This window comes from Homo sapiens, chromosome 7, assembly GCF_000001405.40.
Source record: "Homo sapiens chromosome 7, GRCh38.p14 Primary Assembly".
NCBI classification, from domain to species: domain Eukaryota; kingdom Metazoa; phylum Chordata; class Mammalia; order Primates; family Hominidae; genus Homo; species Homo sapiens.
This window is the reverse complement of record NC_000007.14, coordinates 35860919-35887214: the sequence shown is the minus strand read 5'-3', so window position 1 is coordinate 35887214 and position 26296 is coordinate 35860919. Positions and strand designations below refer to the sequence as shown.

General features: G+C 34.7%; 1 protein-coding gene across 11 annotated transcripts in view; it reads right to left on the bottom strand.

Annotated features, from left to right (window-relative positions):
* Positions 1 to 26296, bottom strand: part of SEPTIN7 (septin 7) — a 114778-nt gene that overhangs the window by 28549 nt on the left and 59933 nt on the right. For all 11 annotated transcript variants that reach the window (NM_001242956.1, XM_011515661.3, XM_011515656.3 and 8 more), the window contains 7 exons: positions 23557 to 23663; positions 14449 to 14549; positions 13440 to 13574; positions 7275 to 7392; positions 4639 to 4731; positions 3228 to 3324; positions 1336 to 1387 (listed from right to left, as the gene is read on the bottom strand). In NM_001242956.1, coding sequence (NP_001229885.1) covers positions 1336 to 1387; positions 3228 to 3324; positions 4639 to 4731; positions 7275 to 7392; positions 13440 to 13574; positions 14449 to 14549; positions 23557 to 23663 — 703 coding nt within the window. The remainder of the gene's footprint in view (positions 1 to 1335; positions 1388 to 3227; positions 3325 to 4638; positions 4732 to 7274; positions 7393 to 13439; positions 13575 to 14448; positions 14550 to 23556; positions 23664 to 26296) is intronic.

Sequence of the window (26296 nt, the reverse complement as noted above, 5' to 3'; positions counted from 1 at the left end):
AACAAGAGGAATGCAATGGTAAATTAGTATTTATTAAACATTCTCTACTTATATACTGTCATAGCAGATTATATTATTAATATGTATTCTTTTGAAGTCACACCTTAAGAATGGAAGAGGAAGGGAATGGTTCATAATAGAGCCTGAAGTGTTGTATTCTCAAAACCCAGAAGATGACCTTCTCGTGCTTTTGCTCTTCTCCACTAAGTGAGGCCTGGCAACCTCAACTGCTGAATTAAACCTATCATGTAGTTCCTACCAAGAACACCTGCTCCTTTGAAAATAAAGATCAATTACATGCCATTTATTTAATTTCAAAATTCACTCTCACCTCTATTGTATTTCTTGAGGTAGCAGTTTGACTGTCTTAAATTTTCCCCCTCACTTCTCACCTTGAGAATGACCTCTTGTTATTCCATGATTTCCAACTATTATCCATATTTATGTAACTACCTTTCTTTACACAGCAAAAGAGATTCTTATGTTTTGGGAAAGTGGGTAGAGGTATGAAAATTAATAGATATCAACTAAAGACAGACATCTAAAACTGAAGGTTAAAGAGAGTATGTGGTAAAGGTGTAGAGAAGCAAGAGAGAAAAGTGGGAAATGCGGAGTCAGGTAGGGAGGGGAATGAATGTGTCTCAACATGAAAATACTGAGGATCATTTTGATGCCCTTTCTGTTCCTTGTCTACTAACATCTCTAGTCCTATTACACTTTTTCTTCATGATTTCCTCTCTGCTGCTGCTTTTCTAATTCATTAGTAAGAGATCCTCTTTACAGTCCTGGTCCTCTAATCAGGATGGCCTCGATGTCCTGCTCCCATAGGCTTTCCTTCTCTTTCAGCAGGTGTGTAAGACACAATTTAGGGATTTCTCACCTGGTAGGAATACTGGTTTTATTCACTATGTTCCAGTACATAAAATGTGCCCTACTCACCAGCTACCAGGCTGTGCACCTTTTAACATTCAAATTCTAGCTTTGGACTCAAAAACTAGCCTTCTCTTATATAGTTTTCACAAGGTTTTCACATTAAGAAAAAAGAGCCTCTTCTACTTCACTTTCCATAGTTATTTCAGTATTAAATCTCGACACAAAGTATAATGATAAAGAGACTAATTTTCCTATGTATCCCTAGACAAATTACTTTGCAACTTTTGCTCATGACTTCAAAACCTTGGAGAAAGAATCATCTATATGTAGTGTTTACTTCATGGCTAGACTGAAGATATAAATTTAAATTAGCTACATTTATAGAAGGCAAAAAGTAAATCTGTCCAACTCTTACTTAGGGAAAGAAAATCTTATGCTATTTCCATCATTGCTTGCACTTACCTTATCAACATATTTCTTAGGATTGTAAAATCACAATGTTCACCATTTTCAACTGTAAGAAAAAAGCAGACCGCATATGTTATATTTCCACTAAACCTAGTCTTTTCAAAAAATATTTCACAGGAACTTGGGGTGTAAAAACAAGAAGAGGAAATGCAAAACAGATCAATTTTTTTGAGATTTAACACTAACATAGTACACTCAATGTGAGGGCATGACAGAGAAGTGTACTCTATTATTGCCTTATTGTAGTTTAATCCTCAGAAATAGATATGTAAACCTAACAAATGAACTCTCCAGAAACAACTTTGAAATTCTGAAAGGGGAAATCTTATTATTGGTAAAAAATATATTTATTCTATAATACATTTAAAAAATTCAGTGGTGTGAGTGAAGGGAGAATCACTTTAGAAAAAATCTTAAGGTAACCAAAATGAAAAAGGGAGCCAAGAACTTTCAGGTTCTTTACTTTTATTTTTAAAGAATGTATCACAAATAGGAATATTACTTGGGAGTAGAGGGGTAAACTACAAAAGAGAGATGCAAATCAATTTCTCCGGTGCGTATTTTTAAGGGGTAAGTTCTAAAGCCCCAGCTCAGCAAGTAAAAGTTGCCTGGGCATGATAGAGAGAGCTGGGAACAAGGTACACAGGTCACTGATGGGAAAATTGCCAATAAGGACAGTTACCTGAAACAATATCCTAAAAATTAAAGAATTGTTCAAAATAAACCAGGGGCAGTGGTGTGTGCTTATAGTGACGTGATGTGGGAGGAGCATGATGTGGGAGGATCACTTTGAGCTCAGGATTCTGAGGCCAGTTGGGCAACATAGCAAGACCTTGTCTCTTAAAAAAAAAAACGAAGTTCAAAAATAATAGCAACAAACAGATAAAACAATCAAATCTCAATTTTGGTTTCAGCTTACTATAATACAGAAGATTAAGTATCAGATTAAACCAATACAATAAACCTATTGCCAAGAGGAAGTACTTCTGAGGCTTGGTGTTATAACTAAGATTTTATTGGTATTTAAAACTCCTTACTTAACCCTTAATAATTTAAGATAGCAGGTTAAAAAAGAAAACAAAAAACTCCTTACAAAACTAGTAAAGAGGATCTCTTATTAACGAAATTTTTTTACTCTAAATATGAGATATCAAAAAGGGCAACTTTTGCACTGAGGAAAGAAGACTGTGGATGTTTTAACTGGGCTTACAAATTTCTTCAATCATTCTTGAGGGTCCATGACCATCTGACGTTCCGATAAAAGTGACTGGCCTTCTCTCCAAATGTTTGATTCCAGGTGGTTCATTAGATTCCCTGGGAGCAAACTTTGGGCCCCAGGTAAAGAACCCCTCAATTTTAGTTATGTTTTCAAATATGAAAACAGAAATAGACTTAATGATGAGGCAGGATGCCAGCCAGGGTGGGGCAAGTTGAGTATCTCTTATTTGAAATGCTTGGGACCAGAAGTGTTTTGAATTTTTTTGGAATTTTGGAATATCTGTGCTATACTTACTGGTCGAGCATCCTTAATCCAAAAATCCAAAATTCAGAATGCTCCAGTGAGCGCTTCCTTTGAGCAGCATGTCAGTGCTCAAAACGTTTTATTTTGGAGCAATTCACATTTTGAATTTTCTCTTTAAGAATGTTCAACCTATACTACAACTTTAGGACTTAACACACACTTGCCTGACTTGGTAGGATACAGGTTTGAAAAATACCAATGTACTTAAAGAGAAAATTGAGACTACAAGAACCTGAAATCAGTATTATCCTTGAAAATCTAGACTATATCAATACAGTGTGCATACTGTACTACTTACTATAAATACAAATTTTTAATCAGTTTTGAGATATTTTAGAAAGTCATTCACTGAAGAAAATCTTACCTTCAGCAACACCCCAAGGATACTGCCTTCCTCTGACCCTTTTGCCATTAACTTCAATGATAGTATTACTACCTACCACAGCAAGAGGTAAACGGTCCTATAAAACAAAGTATTCTTGTTCAAATACATCTCTGTAGTCCTCACAAATTCAAAAATAAAAAAAGTTACATTACTCAACAGGTTAGCCAAAAAAAAAAAAAATTTACTTTCGATAGTTTCTGCATTAGTTTTTATAGGCCATTTAACAAATATTTAGTAAACTGCCATCACATGGTATTGCCACCAAGGTAAACAATAAATAAAATTAAATTTTCTCTTTAATGTTAAGAATATTCAAGCATATACTGGTCAAATTATTTACTAAAAATCACTACAGAAAGTTGTCCCATACCTGGGGGGGGATAAAAGGTAAAAACTATATTGGCATTTGGGGGAAAAAAAGCGGGGGGCTAATGACTAGCTTGCCTACTTGATCACAAACCAACTATAACAGTACCTAAACCAGGTAATAGTATATTTGTTAAGCTCTAACTTTGGAAATTCAAATCCTGGTGACTGGATTTGTGTTCATCCATGTTCAGCCCTTCACAATTCTGTGGCTCCCAGAAATACCTAAGCAGCTATTTACAACTGCAGAAATTCTTCACAGGCAATGTATAAGAATTTCATTATTCCAAGATATTTGCCTACATAATGCCATTATTCAGTATACCATTTTTAGGGCCAAAGTACATAGAAAACCATGATAAAATACAGAAAATATGTTGATGTGAATTTTTGGTTGGTTTTTATTGTTTTTAATTGAAACATAATTGTACACATTTGTGGGGTACAGTATGGTATTCTGATAACTTTATACAAATATGTAATGATTGAATTAGGGTAATTAGCATATTTATCAATTCAAACTTATTTTTCTGTATTGGGAACATTCATAATCCTCTTCTAGCTATCTGAAAATATAGACTAAATTACTGTTAACTACAGCCACCCTACAATGCTACAGAACGCTAGAACTTACTCCTCCTATCTAGCTGTAATTTTGGTTGGCTTTTATAGAGACAAAATAAATACATTTTTGTCTGGCAATTAAAACATAACAGAACGAATTCTCTCCTTTCTCATCACTTGTTTTTTAAGAGAAAAAAATTACATAATATGAAAGCCAGTTAATTAAAAACACTTTGAAATAAGAATTGTGTTATTCACCTCAGTAGTTTATACAATTCCTTATTATATATACTAGCTAATCTTCAAAGTTAACTATAAAGTTGAATTCAACATTAAATCTCCCTAGGTATTTTGTAAGCCAACTACTTAAAACACTGATACTTTTGATCTTTCCTGTGGACGCTGTAGTATGTTTTTAAGGCCTCAGATTACTTTAGCGTGTGTACAGGGATGAACCTACCTTTATCTTTTTAACAAGTTTATTTTCTTCTTCATCATCTGTTTCTGGAAATTCGTATATTTTAATTTTATGTTCTTGGATTTCTTTCATTATCTAAAATGGAAGAAGTAGTCAGCAAAAGAGCACCATACATAATTAGTATATTAGTCTTATGTTCATTACATGCCTCTTCGATTCCTATATGGGTCCTTGGTTCCAGATCCTTTACTGTTTTTTAATGATGCAAAGTTGTAATCTAAAATTAAAGTACTACGCTAGTCTTTTTTTTTTTTTTAACTATGAAGTTGATATATAAACACCAAATCCAATTACTTCCGAAGTGTTAAAGTCATATAGCTGTCATACCAAAAGAGTTCCAAAAAGGATGTAAAACTCCAGAAAGGGATTTCTCTGATTGATTTCCACAATAATGACTTTAGGTCATTTATTTACAATGACTGAGATTCTTCCTTTAGATATAAATTCCCAAGTATCTTATTTAGTTGAATAAACAGGGCTAAACTCACGTAAAATTTTTAGTAGAATCTGGCAAAAGTAAGGTAAAACTAAGTACAGCACTGCTCCCTGAACATTCATCAGAAAAATCCTTACATGTACATGTGCATACACACAAATTGAGGAGCAACAGGTGTAAGATTAGGGAAGGACACAGGGAGAAAACACATCCTAGAAATTAAGAAGCTCAAGAATTAATAAGGAGAATGCAGAAACCTAGAGAAGACAACTTATTATTAACATCAGAAATGACCTAGTTCAAATTAAATTATCATGTTCAAAATCACTCCAATTCTAAACAGAATACAGACATCCAAATAATTTTCAACTACCTATCCTTATTTGAACCCATAACAAACCAATGGCTAATATACCTAAACCTAGCTTCCCTGTCTATACTTATATTTTGGTGCAACTTTCTTGGCAAAGGTTCCCAGCAGCTATAAAAGGACCCTGAACAAATTGTGTTACATGGTTACTATAGTAGACAGAAGTAAACAGAAGTAAAATTGTCACTGAAAAAAAATAGGACCACACTTCTTTTACAATTAGGGTACGTACCTATATTTAAAAAAAAAAAAAGAATAAACAAGGAATTGACAAATACATGATGACGAGAAAAATGAGTAATAGTAGCTAGCTCTAAAAGCAATGGTTTTAGTCAGAGGTTGTATATTAAAATGACCTGAGTACAACCACCAGGATGTGACCAATTTGAAAGAAGAGGTCACTTCATATTCATCTTTTTTACCTTTATCAGTAAAAATCCAAATCGAAACACATAATAAACAAAAAGAAATGTATTATATGATAGTGTTTGAAACTTAGAAATAGCACATTACAAAACAAAAATGGGAATGGGTAAGTGTAAAACACAAAAATACTAGATACAGTAAAAACAATGTACTAAAACTTTCTGAAAATTAGTATGAATTTAGCACAACTTCAAAGCAAATTTTAACAGGCTTTTTATAACAGGTTTCAAGGTATTCTGAAATTCATATTGAAAAAGGTGAAAAACAAAGTATTTTGTTACAATAGGACTATATGGACAATAGAGATAATTACAATCTACTTTTAAATATTATATAAAGCTGCTGTGGTTTAAACAATATACTACTGGCCTTTGGACTACTGGAATAGAGAAAGGTTCCAGAATTGACCTTACATTTCATAAAATGTAATATATAACGAACCAAACACAATTAAATTAGAAATATGTGTGACTGTGTAACTCAATATTATTGAGACAACTAGACGTGAGTCTAGAAAAACAGTTTAGTGGCCTTCCAGCTAGCTCAGTCATACAGCATGAGACTCTTAATCTTAGGGTCATAGGTTTGAACAATAACTTAAACTATAAATATCCCGTAAAGTGCACTGAAAACAAAATTAGTGCACTGAAAACAAAAATAAGCAGCAAAAGAGAAAACAGAAAAAATATTGTGAAAATGAGAGAGAACTAAATATCCAGAATAAAAAGAACCCATATCAATAAATACGGGTAATACCAAGTACTACTGGTCAAAAAGACAAAGGATTTGAGCAGATGTTTACAAAAAGGGGGAAAAAAATGACTTTGTTTTTAAAATGTTCAGCCTTTCGGGAAAATAAAAGGAAAAGACAAAGAAATGATTGGTTACCACTTCATTCCAAAAAAGTTTTCAAAATAAAAATAACAATGCTGGCAAAGTCACAGTGAAACAGATGTACAAATTTGTTTTATTGGGAAAGCACCATGACAAAATGGGGAGTGGGGAGATAAAGACCCATAAAAACAATCATAGCCTTTGAAAGAATAATCCACTTCCTGGGAATTCATTCTAAGAAAATAATTCAAAAAAAAAAAAAAAAAAAAGAAAAGAAAAAAAAAGAAAAGAAAAGAGAAAAGAAAAAAGAAAATAATTCTAAAGAGTATGGGGAGAAATTGTCTGTGTGGGGGTGTTATTACAGAACACTTAAAACAGCCATATTTAAAAACTGACAAAGGCAGAAGATTGAAGAGTTATTTCTAATACAGTATAAATGACAATATAGTAAAGCAGTAAGAGGAATGGATTGCAACACATTATACTAAAAATAGTAAAAACTGCAAATTATGAGAACGGTATAAGAAACCTGGGTTAACACATCCTGCTCACCTGTTTTTTAAACTGTTGGCATTCCTCTGGTGTGAGTGTGTCTGCTTTGGCAATAAGTGGGATGATATTCACTTTTTCATGCAAACGCTTCATAAACTCAATATCCAATGGTTTAAGTCTGAAATACACAGTATTTAATTTGACTGAATTGATCAGTTTGGGAGAACAAGATTCTTCACATCCCCAATGCTAGTTAAATACAATGTAACTACTTTACTTACTTATCAGAAACACTCTGAAGATGTATTAGGCCAGCAAAAGTTAGGTAGAACAGGACTTCAAGAAGCATTGGAGTGGCTAAGGCTTTGACTCCTGCCCTTGAACCCTGGTCACAGGGTTTTGGCCCTAAAGAGGAATTGGAAAAACCAGAAAGGCTCCTAATAGAATTTCCTAGAATTATCTCTATATTTATTACTCAAAATTTACAAGGTTTTTAATTTTTTTTTTTTTATTTAATTTTTTAAGACAGGGTCTCACTCTGTTGCCCTGGGTGGAGTGCAGTGGTGTAATCTCAGCTCACTGCAACCCACCTCCCAGGCTCAGATCCTCCCATCTCAGCCTCCTGAGTAGCTGGGACTACAGGTGCACACCACCATGCCTGCCTAATTTTTGTATTTTTTGTAGACACAATGTCTCGCCAGGTTGCCCAGGCTGGAGGATTTTTTAAAAATGAAAAATGGTAGTCCTCTTCCAACTCCACATTCAGTTCTTGCTACCAACTATCTTTCTCTGACAAGATGCTCACAAGATAATCTTCAACATCCCTTTTATTCATTACAATCTGGCTGCTGCCTCCAGTTTGCCTCTGTACTTTCAAGAAGGTGACTAAATACTTCTATCATGGTGCTTACCATTACTTATTCTCTCACAAGCTCTTCTTCCTTAGGATACTTTTCAGGATCCTCTTAGTAAGCTAGTCCCTTAAGAAGTACATTCTTTAGAATTCCCTACCAGGCTTTCTCTTCTTACTCTACATTCAGTACAATTATTATGACTACAATAGATTTCAATTATCTTCAATTGGTCAACTGACTTCCAAATCTTCATAGACAGCTCATATCTCACTGTTAAGTTCCAGGTTTGTGTTTACCCAGTGGATATGCTACCTGGGTGTTCCATGGGCTCCTTAAAATCAAAAGCTCATCTGAACCCCCATTTTCCCTCTTCTACGCTTCCTATCTCAGTGAATGGCATTACAATCTTCCCCATTACTCAAGTGTGAAACCTAGGATTCCTCCCCTCCTCTAATCCTATTCCTATATATAGTATGTGTATAGATGTGTGTATGCATGATGTATGTATATCTCCATTTCCATTACTTTAGTCTAGGCCACCAAGTCCTTTGGAATGAATAACTATAACATGAATCATCCATACTGAAGTCAGAGTGGTCTTTCTAAATCCAAATCTTATGGAGTTATGACCTGACCAAAAATCTTACTAAAGGCCAGATGCCTTAACTAGAATGGCCCACAAAGCTTGTGAAGACATAGATTCTCAAGCTAACCTCATCTCTTAGCATTCCTGGCCTTTCTTTCGCCTCCTACTTCCAATGTGCCAGCCTTTCTGAATTTCTTACAATTCCTTGAAAGCATCATACTTTGACATCTGGCCACAGGCTACTACCTTAGCTGGAACACCCTCCTCCATTCTCATCCTCCTTCTCCTTGGCCTGGCTAATTCCTATTCATCCTTTAGGACACTGGCTTATGATCCAATTTCCACTGGGAATCCTTCTCTAACCTTGAGACTAGGCATATTTCTATGTGCTGACAACACTTAGTGTGCTGTACCATAACTGCCTGCCTGCATACAGATGGGTCCTCACTAACTATGGTTCCACTTAACAATTTTTCAACTTTCTGATAGTGTGCAAGCAATACGCATAGAATAGAAACCATACAACCATTCTGCTTTTTACTTTCAGTACAGTATTCAATAAATTACATGAGATATTCAACACATTATTACAAAATAGGTTTTATGTTAGATGATTTTGCCCAAATGTAGGCTACGCTATTAAACGTATCTTCAACTTCAACAGGTAACCCTGTCCCAAGTTGAGGAGCATCTGTATTTGTTTCTCCCATCTTCTCACTGAAATACCCTCTACAGCGAGGGCCTTATCTCAATTTATCTGTATCCTCAGCACCCAGCGTGGTATCTAACACTCAAGAAGGTGCCCAAATATTTGTTGACAAAAAAAGTAAGCTGCTGTGATTTTCGTTATGTCCTTTAGTAATTCTAAATGAGAACCGAAGTCCTCAAATCTGGAATATATTGTGGACTAAAATTGAATGTTTCACAAGAATAAATGAAGATACTAGAAATATTTTGCAAAGGACTACCATTCTAAAGTGGTATTCTTTAACTTTTATAAAAACATGAGAAAAATGAAATAAAGGTCTCATTCTGTTAATAATTTTATTGACATACTAATAATTGAATTGACTGACATTTTAAAATAAAGAAAGAGAAACATATATATTAAAACTGGGGGGATTAGGGCCCTAAGACTAATAAGATAGTCCAGTCCTTTTTACTAACAAAGATTACTGTATATACTTTACTGTAGTAGTAAGGCTGACAGGCAGAAAGACAGAGACAGTGAGGGGGAGAAAGCAAACATGGAGAATTAAGATAGCTGCCTCCTATTCTAATTCTCCTTGTCTTAAATCCCCTGAAAATTGACACTGGCATTCAGAGAATAGGGAGCACAACGAAAAAAGTGTGTGTAGATGGAATAACCCTGTTTATATTATCTGTAAACTGTGTTCTTGCCTCACTAGTGTTAACTAAAAGAACCTATCCATTTTTATTTATTTATTTTTTTGACAGGGTCTTGCTCTGTCACCCAGGCTGGAGTGCAGTGGTGTAGTCATAGCTCACCATAGCCTCCAATTCTTCCACTTTGACTCCTGGGTAGCTAGGACTACAGAGTGCACCCCCAGGCCCAGCTAATTTTTTTTTCTTTTTTTAGTTTCACTCTTATTGCTCAGTCTGGAGTGCAGTGGCACAATCTTGGCTCACTGCAATCTCCGCCTCCCGGGTTCAAGCAATTCTCCTGCCTCAGCCTCCTGAGTAGCTGGGATTACAGGCATCCACCACCAAGCCTGGCTAATTTTTGTATTTTTAGTAGAGACGAGGTTTCACCATGTTGGCCAGGCTGGTCTTGAACTCCTGACCTCAGGTGATCCACCTGCCTCAGCCTCTCAAAGTGCTAGAATTACAGGTGTGAGCCACTGCGCCCAGCCTCAACTAACTTTTTAATTTTTTGTAGAGATGGGATCTCACTATGTTGCCTAGTCTGTGGCCTCAAGCAATGGTCCTCCTGCCTTGGTCCCCAAAGTGCTGGGATTACAGGCGTAAGCCATTGCATCTGGCCTGAACCTATCCATTTTTGAAAAAAAATTTTAAGTTTTGCTTCTTTTCATTAATCATTATATAAAACACTAAATATAAATGCCATGAAATATTCAATCTCAGATTTCTAAATTGTTATGGTTTTTCAATTCATATTCATGACAAATTTAAACTGCCACTACCTTATTAAGCTGTTATGTCAGATATAAGCCTGCTTATCAATCCAGTGACAAAAAAGCAGAGTTCAGTTAATCCAAAATTTTAATAAATCTTAAGGGCATTTAATATAAACTATTAAAATCCAAATAACAAGATTTTATATTTAAATGCAAAACAATACTTGCTGAGTATTTATTATAATATCCCAACTTCTAGAAAGAAAGATATTTAAAAATAAACATAACAAGGAAATTAGGGAAGTCAACTTCTTAAATATAACCAAAGGGTCAAAGAACATTTAAGTCAGTTTAAAAATTAAACTTTAGGAAAAAAGGTAAACCTTGTAAAAGTCCCATTAAATTTCAGAAGCCTACAAAATGTCAGCAACAGAAAACATTTAGTTCACATGTATATTACATTCTGGTTGAATTTTTTCCTCTGTCCATTTAGTTTTATATTGGCTGGTCTTTTCATCAACAAATTTAGTTTTTAAATCTTGTTTTTAAGCAACAGAAAATCCTTTATCGTTTCTAGAAGATAAACCCATACTAGAGAGAAAAGACTATTTAACCTCAAAGTCTACAGCATAATGAACAACCACAGGGCAAATGACAAATTTTTTTTGTATGTATGTATGTATGTATGTATAAGAGAAAAAATCCTTCTGTATAAAACTCACTGGATGACACCAATTTTTCTAAAAGTGGTAATCAATACTAGAAGGATAAAACACCATTTTAAAATTCATGTTCCAAGTCAGTTTTTTATTTTAATAACAATTACAAAATACTGAACAATGCAAATGAAGCAATAATAGCTGAAATCATACATTAGCCATGCATGCAGTTCATACTTGGTAGAGGGAGGTAGGAGGCACTGAAAGTACACTGTTGGACCAATTTATAATTATCTAAAAACAAATCCCTCCAAAAAGGGAACCCAGGGACTACCCAGACAAGACGGAAACGCTCTGATTCATCTATTAGACTGCATGGAATTTCAGTCTGTAGTGAGCAGGATATCTGGAACTCTATACATAAAATTCTGTGTCATATTCCTTCACTTAATCCACAATATCATGTACCAAAGGGCAAAACTTTGCTCCATTTCTAAAAATAAACTGAGAAATTGTTCAAAGGTACATTTTTATATATAAGAAATAGCAATTTTAAACATCTTACCCCTTGTGACAAATAAGAAATGGCACAAAGCCACTACATATCATTTGAATATAAAAATTTGTTCTTTTAAAAAAGCTCTCATTTCCCATGCAATTTTAGGAAATAAAATTTTCCCCAAGGGGATGGAAGGAATGTGACTTCATGAGAATTACTAAACTTGGAGAGAGTCCAGAAGATCTAAAATAATAAAATTGGTTATAAGCTGACAAGTTTTATTGACTTAAATGCAGGTTAAGATTTCACTCTGCTGGCTTAAAGGAAAAAGCCCTGACAAGTTAAACGAGAATGACTTAAAAATACAAATTCAAGTAGCTACACAAATACTCATAAAAGGTTATATAATATGTTGTATTTTTGAGATTACTTTTTTTGAGCCTTTTAAGTCAGAGTCAGTTTAGTGATTTAAACATGTAAACTGAGAGTACTGTAAAAGAATATTAGACATAAAAGAAGAAACATCTTTACTCCACTACAATCTGGCAGTGCAAACATATAAGTATATAATTAAGGCTCCCTTATCCATCTAGAGTGATAATGGGCATTGACCTATCTATAAAAAAGTAAAAGAGAGCAAGAAGCCAAAAATAGAAGAGAAAGGTATACTTGAAGGAATTGGTTTACACTACTGTAATGTGAGTGTTAGATAACTTAATGCTATTTAGCCTGATGCTACTACAGTTCTTTTGGTGGAGAGATGGTGGAGTTATAATCATCAGGTGGCTGAATTATATATACTGAGTTACTTACCCAAAGGAAAAGACTGAGGAAGAATAACTGGAAAATTCTGCAGTTGTCAATAACACATATATGTACTCAAAATGACAGCAGAAGTACAAAAAACAAAAAAAGGGAGTACAGGCTAACTATAACAAACAGAACAATCAGATTAGATTAATGTCTAGATTCTTAGGTCTTAAGTCCTAATAAACAAAAGATTAGTACTGACAATATGATACCTGAACAACACGTCTATGACAGCTAAGGTGAAACAGAAGCCAAATAGATTTATTGTAGAAAGAAATGGCACAAGAAAACATTGGCATGCAAGTGTTTTTGATAATCATTTCTATGAAACTTATAATAAATAGCATCTTTGGATTTATTTTGAATATGTCTAACTGGTATGGCTGCTTCTCTTTATTTGGTATTTCTATTAGTAGCAGAGTGGTCAACATGAAAGCTAAATTTGCCACATTGAGACCTCAAACCATGGTGGCAACACTGTTTATTTCATGAAGCAGGGAAAATCCTTATGAATGAAGAACTAAGGAGTAAAATCACTGTTAGCTTATATAGGACTTAAAATGGCTTTTCAACTAAGACATTTCTACATGAAATTTAGTACTTCATAATGGCTATAGTTGTGTGTACTTCACAAACTTAAAGATTACTAAAGTATGCACATAAAGGTAACAGTAAGCAACAACAACAAAAAAGGAATCAGAAGTATCAAGGTACTGACCCATGTCCTGAAGGAGCAATGAAGTATAAACAACACTGCACCCTGTTATCAGGCATCTGACGTCTGTTCACTCGTGATTCTGCATTTAGGTAGTCCTCAAATTTACTATCAATGTAGTCGATAACAGGCTGCCAGCTATAGAACGCAAATAAACAAAACAAGCTGCAATTCTACATATGAATTAACTGATGACTGTTAAAGGACAATAATCAGTATTTTCAAATGGGCAAAATGAATTTACCAGTAGAAGATATGTCAAGTTATTCTATATATTCAAAAATATAAATTATGTTGAATAAATATTCATTATTCAAAACTTTCCAAATGAAAGAAAATAAACTATTTACTGTCGAAACACAGCTAAATATTAGCATATTATTTGCACTAATAAGTGTATTAATAACACACTTCATAATATGAAAACAATTATATGCAGTTTAAAATTTCAAATGAGAGATTACTTTAAATAATAAAAAAACTTCATGGTGAACTTGGGAGTTTTAAGAGTTGACAGAAAATTACCTCAAAAACAATGTGAATTCAAACAAAAATAAAAGTATTATTTATAAAATACTAAGATAATTACTTCAGACTAAAATTTCATAGTTGTTTTCTTCACTTAGGACTTACAGAAAAACTGAAAGTCTAAATATCAGGTTTAAATTAGGATTGAGATAGAATTTATACAAATGAATAAAATTAAAGTGAACAGTTTTAAATTTCTTACAATAATGAGAATTCTTCTATTTACCTATGTTATTTTAGAATATGTCTTAAAAACAATTTTATGATAGGTATTATCTCCATTTTATAGAAAAGTAAATGGGTTCAAAGAAGTTAAACAACTTTGTCAGATAAGTGGCAAAGTTGGTATACAAACCCAAGTCATGTTGCTTGAAGTTTGGTGACCTTTGCTAAGATGAGAAGTTTTAAAATGTTAAGAAGAAAAAGTTTAACCACCCCAGTACCCCAAATGCACTGCAAAGTTGTGAGGACAAACCCTTCTTACCAATTACTATTATCCACTGCATCTCCAAATCCTGGGGTATCAACTATTGTGAGCAGCAACTGAACACCACCTTCTTTGATTAAAACTTTGGATTGTTCCACCTGTAAGAGTAATTGGTGCAGATGTTAATATCATACATTACATCAGTGATTTCCTACAAGGGGTGATGGTAGGGACGTTCGAGTTTATCAAAACCAACTGGGAAACTGTTAGCAAACTAAATCTACCTACTACCACATTACCTTTAGAATTGATGATAGCGGGCATTGGAAATCCAGATTATTTGAAAGAAAAGCATATATACAAATAGTCTGCCAATCTCTTGGCAAATTCATACTGGGTTTATGACTCATACTTGGTATAAAGACAGACAGAGGAACTGATAAAATAGTGATCACCACTAAAGACATGTAATACTTATATAACTTAAATGTGCATCTAATAATACAAATAAGCAGTTTGAGTGATTTAATAATTCACAGAGTTCAAATGTAATTAATCAGAGAAGAACATCTAATCTACCATTTACAGTAAATGTCTTCCTGGACTATTCTCTATCAAGTTTGGCCCCAACCACTCACTCAAATAAACTTACTATCATTCCTTAATCTTTCTCAGCATGGATGTATTACCCTTGTATTTATGTTATGGCTAGGATCCAATCCTTTTCTCAAATGTGATACTCCACATTCTGGACAATGTAATCAGCAAAAGTCCAGACAGTTTTTATTTTAAAAAAAAGTGTATTCTGGTAGGGTGAAACCTTACTAACTGATTATTGGACTTAAATGATAACAACAGTTCCTGGAACAATTTAAGACATTCTGTAATCTCAAGCTCTGTATCAGAAGATGTATTATCATTCATCCTGGGCATATGCTGCTGTTAAATGCAAAATATCAGTTTTCAGGAACCCAAGATAAAGCAAACACGGATTCAAATGAAAAGGGAATAATTCCTCCAGAAAAAGACAGGCTTTCTCCTGATAACACATTTAATAAGGATAACAAGTCCTTATTAAGGCTAGAGGCTCCAAGTATGCTGATAAGCTAATTTACAAGACAAAAAGTTTGGGACACTTTTAGAGATAGCCTACTTCCTTTTGGCATGTTTTATAGATGCTACCTGATGCATGAAGAGACTAACATGCGGAGACTAAGATTGCTGAGCAAGAAAAGTCTGTAGCCACACTATCCAATAACACTTTCTGAGATGATGGAATTGTTGTGTATCCACACTGCATCTCCAAATCCTAGGGTATCAACTATTATGAGCAGCAACTGAACACCACCTTCCACTTGTCCATGTGGCTACTTAGTCCTTGAAATCTGACTACTGCAAATGAGGAGCTGATATTTAATTTTATTTAATTTGAATTAACTTAAATAGCCACATATGGCTAGTGACTACCGAATACACAGCAGAGGTCTACAGCAATCAAGAGTTTTCTGTTAAAAAAATTTTATTATGAGGAATAAAACTTATTAAAACTGAAAAAAATTGCCTGAGATGTGGACACACATGACTTATCTTTTAGAGAAATGAGATGCCAAATTCTTATCTTTTAATGTTCTTTAAACTGCTTTGATCCTGATATAAACTATCAAGTGAAAATTTTGCAGATCCAAAAGATATTTATCCACCAAATATATACTATTGGCAATCTGAATATTAAGTATTAATATGCATTATCATTAATCTGTAGATTAAAAAAGTAAACATCAATAACAGTTGTAATATTTTCTGATCATCCTCAGTATCAATGATTGATGCACATCATTTAGGAGATCACTGTCACATACCACACAACTAAGATAACATGTCTATTATCAGGTTACCCTAATAACATGAGAGAGGCAAAATAACTCAGAGAAAACAATCAGATTCATCAGTGTGAGATCATGAGAACCAAAGGAAAAACATTTTTTTTTTTTTTTTTTTTTAGTCAGGGTCTCACTCTGTTGCTCAGGCTGGAGTGCATGGCAGATTATAGCTTACTGCAGCCTCACTCCTGGGTTCAAGCGATCTTCCCATTTCAGCCTCCCAAAGTGCTGGGCCAAAAAAAATGTTTAATGGTATCATCTCATCTAGTTTAGGAGGTTTACATTTTATCTGGTGATCTTCTAGCCAAAGGACAACCCAGTCAAATCTAACATCTCAATATCTTGAATTCACTTCCATCTCCTTTATAAAGACAGATCATTTATTCATGGTAACTGTGGCTGAAGCAGAAATATCCAAAGTAATCATACCACTCCTTTACCTACTTACTCTTTTAAATAACATAGTACTACACACTAGAAAGTGATACAACAATATAGTAAATCTACATGAATCATCTCCCAATTTTACTTCAAACTATTTCTGGTTCCTTTATTACCAAACGAAGCCCATTCTACCTTCAGTAATATGCTGTATACCAATTACACATTTTAACTTAACAGCTTAAATTTTAAGATATTTCCCTGTTTTTTAAAAAAAATCAGTTCAACAACTTAATTACTTATTGACTTGCTAAGACAAATGAAGATTTGTATTTTACACACTTTAAGGAATGTTTATAAAGCTTCTTTTCTTCTCTGGCCTACAAAATTCTGTGTATCCATACACGGTCAAATACAAAGAAGTCAGCGACATATGGAAGAGATCCAGAAAACACAACTAAACTAGTGCCATTCACAGGATCCGACTGTATCCTATCATCTGCTTTTACAAGTATCCTCATGGGATCCATGGAAAACAAATTAGTTGAAGTCCAAGAATTTCAAACTTTTCTAACAAATCTATTCCAAATGGCCACTTTCCCACGCACTTTCCTTAAGCAGGTCACATCAACATCTTTATGGCATCACTCAGGGTTCTCTAAGATTAGCTGCATCATTTAATACCAAAAGAATGAATCAAGGGCATTTTCAACTGTTTTTCCCTGAAAAATAAATAAAACTAAAGCTATCGTCCATGTATCATCTATGTATAATTCATCTATTGAGACCTCTTTTGGCATCTGAGATTCCAGAAATCCAAGGTACTCATTTTCTAATACTGAGTGTATACAGTATACAAGAGTTCCAGTATACTGAGTTTTCAGTTTTACCATCTGAGGAAAAAAAGTCAAACAATGTTTATTATACAGTGTCATATAAACTAACCTAACTTAATGTTTACATGCCACTTATTAAGGTAAATAAAAAATGTTATTTAATTAAGAACATAACATTTTGAAGAGAGGGTTAAAATTTTCTGTCAAGAGCCTACCTCTACCTTCACTTGCTCAAGAGGTAGCATTACAGCCAAAACTCTGAAGACATTGGAATGGCCTGAGATACTCCACTTAGCTCAAACACAAAAACTATCTATTTTGCTTATTTACTGGCTCAAAAGACAAATATCATCTTACATGTTTCATCGTGTTCCACAAGAAAATGAAAGAGGAAGTGACCAATAGTAAAACAGTTATGCTTAAAGAATACCTCCTTCTCATCAAGACCCAGAACTACTTTACTAAGAAAGTTGATCCCAAAACTCTAACTTGGCCTTCTATTCTGAACCTCTCTACCTCTCATATCCCTGTCTCCTTACACTGAGACCTCAAATCCCTTGCCCCTCTCATTTTCTATTAGCAACCTCCTTCCCAAAACCTTTATTTCTTTCCCTTTCCAACTCAAATCCCACTCTGGATTAACCCATCTTTCTATTCCTATACCATAAAATTCATGACTTTCAACCTCAACAAGAATTTCCCTGCTAATATTCCTCTTATGTGCTCCTTAGTCTCATGCCTCTCCCATTTCCCAGTAGGCTCTTCCCAAGCCCATGTCTGTCACAATGCTCAGTGAAGTACCTCATATCTCCACTTAAAAATGAGACCATTCCCAGTCTGTCTGAATCAGCACTGTACCTTCCATGGTACAGTGTGTGTGAAATATATCTTTTTCCTAAAGCTAATTTCTCAATATGTTCTAGGGAACTGATTAATTTCCATTTTAGATTCATCTTGACAACCGTTTACACTATTTCCCCTCTATCGTCAATCTCTCATTTCTTAGAGAATGACTTGCCACAGGATATAACCATTCTCAGGTCTCTTTTGGAAATCATCAAACCACTCTCTGAGTCCTCTATACTCACTCCTAGGTATCCCTTTTCATCCCTTCCTTAATAGCCATCACCCATCTTCACTGACTCACCACTCACTTCTCAACCCACTGCCATCTTGCTACCACTTCATTAAAATTTACCTTGCCAAGGTCACCTCTACAGCACCTTACAAAAGCATCTTTCTCACTAAGTCATAATTGTTTGTCCATATTTTTCCCACAATTGTGAGATCTTTGAGAACTTTTTGTCTATCATCATTGTAGCCCCAAAACTTAGTTTAAGACAAGCATTCAAATATGTTATGTGAATGGCTCAAAAACTATCAAAACTGGACCAGCTGTCAACAGGAGACTCTCCTGATAGGGCTCTGTGAAAATTTTTCAAGGAGTCTATCAAGTATGTTACCCCAGAGAAGTACATACTGCTTTCACCTTTTCTCACTTTCAAAATTTTGCACCCACTTCATCTACAGAGTTTGATTTACAAAACTTCAGGGACCAGCTGGGTGCGGTGGCTCACACCTGTAATCCCAGCGCTTTCGGAGGCTGAGGTGGAAGGATCAGTTGAGGTCGGGAGTTCGAGACCAGCCTGGCCAACATGGTGAAACCCCATCTCTACTAAAAATACAAAAATTAGCCAGGTGTAGTACGCGCCTGTAATCCCAGCTACCCGGGAGGCTAAGGCAGGAGAATTGCTTGAGCCCAGGAAGCAGAGGTTGCAGTAAGCTTGAGATCACACCACTGCACTCCAGCCTGGGCAACAGAGCAAGACTCCATCTCGGAAAGAAAAAAAAAAAACACTTCATGGACCAATAAAATGTTTCAAAGGGGAGCAGCGTAGTTTCCAACTAAGAACTTTAAAAAATCTAACAGTGTCATTGCACAAAAGAATTATCTTAATACATTAAGAGAAAATTAAAATGGACTTCAATCTCAGAAGAAAGGATAATTTCTTCCCAAGAAAAGACAGATGATACCCTTTCAGTGACATGAAGTATGATTTAAAAATTTTCAAATGCAGGCCAGGCGTGGTGGCTCACGCCTGTAATCCCGGCACTTTGGGAGGCCGAGGCGGGCGGATCACGTGAGGTCAGGAGTTCGAGACCAGCCTGGCCAACAAGGCAAAACCCCATCTCTACTAAAAATACAAAAATTAGCCAGGCGTGGTGGCACACGCCTATAATCCCAGGTACTCAGGAGGCTGAGGCAGGAGAAACACTTGAACTTTGGAGGTGGAGGTTGTAGTGAACCGAGATCGCGCCACTATACTCCAGCTGGGTGAAAGAGCAGGGCTCCATCTCAAAAATAAATAAATAAATATAAAAATTTTCAAATGGTACAAAATTATAAAATAACGGTTAACTGTTAACATACATACAACATTGTAAGCAATATTTTTCCAAAAAATTTTGTTAATCTGGGTATCTATATTTGATACTGAAACATGAAGTAGAGCTCAAATGTTCAATTTTTTTCACTTCATTTTCATCAATCTTTTGGAAAAATATATATATAAGTAAAAAATGGAGGTAACATGGTACCATTTCATTCCACTTGAAACATTCTGAAAGAACTAAGGTAAAACACTTCCCTCTCCTCCTTTCACCCTGACAGACACAGGATAAAACCAGTTTGCAGCAGAGCAGTTGTTCTCAAAATGTAGTACCCAGACTGGCAGTAATACATTCTGAGAACTAAATAGAAATACAAATTAGTTGGGCCCTGCCTCAAACCTGCTATATAGCAAACCATGAAGAAAGGGACTCAGCAATCTGTGTTTCGACAAGCCTTCCAGGTGATTGTGATGTGCGCTCAAGTTTGAGAAGCACTGGTATAAAGAATTCCAGGACTGGTGTCAGCTCGCATCTGGAAATGCACAGATATAACTCAGGGTCCTGAGGTCCAAGATAAGAGGTTAAGAATTAATCTTAATGAGCTTCTATCAATACTGAAAACTTCACTTGAATCAGAACTGCTATTTTACACACAGGAGGCTAAAAATCAGCTCTCTGTTCAGTGTACACAGCTTCCCATTCCTTCCAAGACTGTGAATGTGAATGAATATCTCCTTTAAGATACAAGTCTCTTATAAATAGATAATGCCCAGGGATGAGAATATGAGATCATGGTCTTTATTAATATCTTGCTCCTTATTCAGCCACATAATAGGAGACAGTTTTTCTCCCCATTTTCATAAACGTTTGTCTTCTGAAACTCAGGATTGTATGTTTACCAGTCTAATATGTCTGGACTGAGATACAATACTGGTGACCACTCCCCTCTACTGTGAGAGTTTATTAGCTTCCAAGGGCAGATCATCTGCTAGACTACTGGGCTTGGTAAGGAGCCAGCCAACTATCAAAAAGATTACATTCTCATTTTCTAACTACATTCAGGCTTCTTGAATGACTCTGACCCTGTCTGTAATATGGCATGTTCTTTCCTGAGTAAGTGGGCAAAAGAGTTTAGATGATCTTCAACTGGTTTCCAGTATATAAAAGAATACACCTCCATGGTTCAATCAGGAAAGAGGACTTCTACAGGATTCTAGTAAGGATCAATCTGGTTCTCAAATGTTACAGGTCTTCCTTTTGGTAAAGAAAAGATATTTAACAGTGGTGCACAGGCTTCTGTCTTAAAAATCCTCCTAGAGATATTCTTACCTCCATTACCCCTTTGTTTTCAAGATAAAGAGAGTTTCTGGGAAGATATTCACAACAGAAGAGGATATTTTTGAAGTGTTATTTTAAAGGAAGGTAAAATGGGTTTAGACAATTTATTTTGAAGCTAGGCCAATGTAAGAATTCTAATAAATTGAGGGCATGTCACATCTTTAACAGATGCTTGCCTGGGGAGAAAATGTCTGCAATATCTAAAATGTAGGGGATTATTAGTTAGATTTTTAAAACTCCTATAAATCAGGAATAAAATGACAGAAAATATTATCAAAACACTTTCATGAAATAACAGTTAATGAGTACAAAAGACATGTTCAACCTCACTAGAAATCAAAGAAAATAGACTCAAATACCTTTATATCTTTATGCACACACAACAGCAATGAGTGCCTAAGTCCACCAAGACATACACAAGAATGTTCCTATTAGTAAAAAACTGAAACCCAAAGGCTTATCTAAAATAAACAATAAATGATATACTGATACATTCACACAATGGAGTAGCATACGATGACGATGAAAAAGAACTACACCCAACATGAGTAAATAATACAGACGTAATCTTCACTGAAAGAAAACAGATATAAAAAAGTATATGTATGTAACATTCAAGAACAGGCAAATTTATCTATGGAGAAAGCAGTCAGTTAAGGTGTGTATCTTTGGGGGGTGTAATACTGAATGACAGTGAGCACACAGAAGAAACTAGGGTTCTGGAAATGAACTGTACATTAATTTGGGTAGTGGTTAGTTTTATCTTGCATATCTAAATTCATAAATACCTAAATTAAGGTATTCCTAATAGATACCCAAATTAAGAAAGTTCAAAGTTCATTTTCTTGCTTAGGATTAAAATTTCCAATATTTATCACAAAATAAATAAGCATGTAGGAACAAGTTTTTAGAGCATAATTTTGCAGGTAATTTTAAATCTCAAGCCCTATAAAGGTTACCAAAAAAAAAAAAAATCCTAAAATAGAAACATTGAGAAGGAGAAATAAGAAATTCACTTCACAAAATTACTCCTTTGGGATCTAGTTACTAAACTGCATCTTATAGTTTGATATATGAGTTACTGCCCAGAATATACAGACTGTCCCTCCATCCTGTGCACTGGGATGATCACTACCACTTCTTCAAATCCAGCTAAAAGCATCACTGCCTGAATGAAGCCAACTCCAGCCAGAACTGTTCACTTGCCTCCTCTCTGCTCATGTCCTATATATCACATAAGCAGAGCTCACCAACAATATTTTTAATCAACAGTTTAGAGCAGTGCTGACAAACAAAAATACCATATCAATCATATAATTTATAATTTTCTTAGCCACTTTTAAAATAGGAAAAAGGTGAAATCAATCAATTTTATTTAACCTGATACATCCAAAATATTATCACTGCAGTATACAATCAATATAAAAAATTATTGAGATTTTTTTTTCCATGCTCAGTCTTAGACATCTGTGGTATATTTTATATTTGCAGAACATCACAATTCAGACCACCTACATTTCAAAGATTAATAGCCACATGTGGCTACAGGCTGCTGTACTATTTAATAAAAAGTACATATCTAGAATCTAGCCCCTTGCTCTATAAAGTGTGATCTACCATCCAGCAGCATCAGCATCACCTGTGATCTTGTTAGAAATGTAGAAATTGCAGCCCATCTCAGACCTACTAGAAGAACTAAATTTAACAGGATACCGAGGATTGGAATGCATAGCAAAGACTGAGAACTAGTAAATCAGATCACATATACCTTGGGAGTCTTACAGAATCGCTATTGCCATTCAACTATGATATGGTATTATCCCACTGACTAATATAGAACACTATATTTAAATCACAATAGCTTTTCTATAAATCACGTTTTCTCTACACCATCTAATGCAATTTTCTGCAATGATGAAAATCTTCATATACGTGCTGCAAAAAATGGCAGCCACTTGCCACATGGGCTGTTGAGCACTTGAAATGTATCTGGAGCAAATGAGAAATTGCATTTTTAATTTAACTAATTTTAATTTATTTAAACATGTGGCAAATGACTACCATACTAGATAGCACAACTCCAGGGGAATTGGTTACTATGTCACAGTGTCATCTCTAGGAGAGTCCTCTAGACAAATTTGGGAAGTTCTAGCCAAGATAATTCTTCTGATGAACTGTACTTTTTTTTTTAAATTTTATGAAGTCATATTTACCATCATACACTGGCTAAGGACAAATTTGCATCTTACCTCTAAGGAAGCCTAATAAAAGTTACAACATGTGCTTTGTGTGTATTAATATTATTCCAGCTTATCAATTAACAATACTAATATCCATACCTGTACAGTCTTTTTAATTCTATGAGAAGGACCTGGATACTCTGGAGAATACAAATCTGTGAGGAATAATGAGTTGATTAATGTCGACTTTCCCAATCCAGATTCACCTAAAAGAAATAAGGGAAAATATCTGTTAAACTCACCCACTTTACGCAATCTTAAATATTCAACAGATGCTATAATCAAACTTGCCTTATGCAAGTACTTCTTGGTGAGACAATGAAATGACATTAGAAAATATGCTACAGAGAATAAGTATCTTGTCCTCAGTTGCTTAGCTATCAAATCAGACTCATGTTTCCAGGGATTCTTTTCAGTCTTCTAATTATACCACTTATATTCATTAAAAGTAATGTATCTAATAATCTACATTTTTAACAGTAATGTTATTCCCAAAGAAAAATGTCATTATTAAAAAATCCAAGTTGGATTATATGTCGCTGCTTGAGTGAAATAAAGTTTTTCTTTACTAATAGACAATAATGAATGATCAAAACAAGAAATCATGCAACTATAAAAAGCAAAAATCTGCTAATACAAAGAATTAATCACAATGAACATCTCCGTATAAAATTCTAAATCACAAAACATACTTTCTAATTCAGCCACCCATCAGCCTAAATATAAGGGTGCTTCTCCCAAACCAGAATCCAAAAAATCTTAGGTAATTACTTTTTATATTGCTTCTACTCGAGGTAGGAGGTAGACATGAAGGGAAGCTAGGGCATGATTTGTACTCTGATCACGTACTCTTTTTTGACTCTCCATGTCTAGTCTAACATACATAGTCTAGTATATAGTAACTATTACAAGTATATGAAAATATAAATGGCTTCAAGGTATATATAACCTAAGGTTAAAATAAATTATAAACCATATTATGACAACACGGCACAGAGTTAAAGTATTTATTGTTAATAATTCACTTAGAATAATAGGCATGCTTAGCCTAAGTAACTGATGTCACAATATTTTTATGTCTAGGAGGAATTCTTTTTATATTAGCTCTCAAAAGAGGTAAGATCCTTTCCACGTGGTCTGGGCTTACCCCTTTGACTGAGAGCGTGCCAATTTTTACTAGATGTAAAAATGCAAAAATGTCTAAGTCACAGGAAAGTAACATGGGTTGGCCACACTCGATTCTTTCTTAACTCTTATACCTTGAAAGCAGAAAGATTAGAATAAAACCCAAGCATTTGGATGTTATCAGAAATATCTACAATATTTCTTTTTGGAAATATAAATGATAATTTTAGTATATACAATAATGTTTTGGGAAATTAAAAACAAAAGTATGCTAATTAAAAAATTAACACTGTACTCAATAAATTGTGTTTAGAGGTTTTTTTTAGTTTTTTACCCCTTTTTATTTGTGGTGAGGAGTGGGGGAACAAGATGACAGAGGACAAAGGGAAAAGAGAGAGGAAGAAAAATAGAAGTCTGAAAGGTAACACACCAAAATGTAAATAGTGGCTACTCTGTGGATAGTACAATACGGATGATTTTTCTTAGTTTGTTATACTTCTGGGTGCTGTAAACTTCCTTCAATATGATTCTGCTATTTTCATAATTTAAAAAGTATTATTGAGTGGCATCAGCAAAACGGCAAACTAAAAAGCTCAAAGCCTCATTCCCTCACAGAAACACCAAAAACAACCAGAAATTAGTTGAATTAACCTTACAGGACCTGTGAAAAACAAAGGTCTACAGAATGAAGCAAATGCCCAATTAAGAAAAAAAATATGCAAAACTTTTGTGACATTTTTCTGTGATCTTGTCCCACCCCTTCTGCAGTTTATCTGGGTCTCAAGGAGGCAGCAAACCAATTCCCAATTCATTCCCTTCAAATGAGCGGCAAGAGTGCAGACCTAACTTGTAACATTTTAACCTCTCTGGTCTGCCAGAAGAACTGATTCCTGTTTTGCCTAACTGGGACCTCATTGGGTGAGAGAAGCAATGGGCACCATTTATGAAAGCTGCAAGGGGACACAATAGATGTTTGGGGCATAAGATTACAGTGGGTAGATACAATAGACCATCTGAGTATCCAGGTGAGACTCTTTGGGAAATTAAGACATTCAAAAGCAGCCATGCATACAGGAGGAATTGAGAAAGCGACCCACAGGCCTAGGCAACACAAATGCTCAGAAAAGAAGACCTTAAGCTTTCACCTTAGGGTGATCACTACGTTAAGGGCATGCTCAACTAATCAGCAGAGAAATGCCCCAGTAGTACACAGCCAGTGTGCAACTGAAGAGAGGTGACTCTTTCAAATACTCAGTTTTCAAAAAACATCACAAGGCATGCAACAAGGTATAGGAAAACATAGCCCATTCCAAGGAACAAAAATTTCCAGAAACCATTCCTGAAGAAATACAGATATTAGATTTATTAGACAGACTTTAAAGCAGCTGTCTGAACTATGCCCAAAGAGCTAAAGAAAAAAGTGAAGGGAAATCAGGAAAATAATGAGCAAAATGAGAATATCAATAAAGAGAAATTATAAAAACAAACTGTAGAGCTGAAAAATACAATAATTGAAAATTTCACTATATAGGTTCAATAGCAGAACTGAGTAGGCAAAAGAAAAAACTCAGCAAATCTGAAGACAACAGAAATTATCAAATCTGAGCAGAAAGAAAAAAGAAAGAAGAAAATTAAACAGAGCCCAAGAGATTATGAAATAAATCAATTGGACCAATATATACTCAATGGATGTTTCAGAGGAAGAGAAATGAAC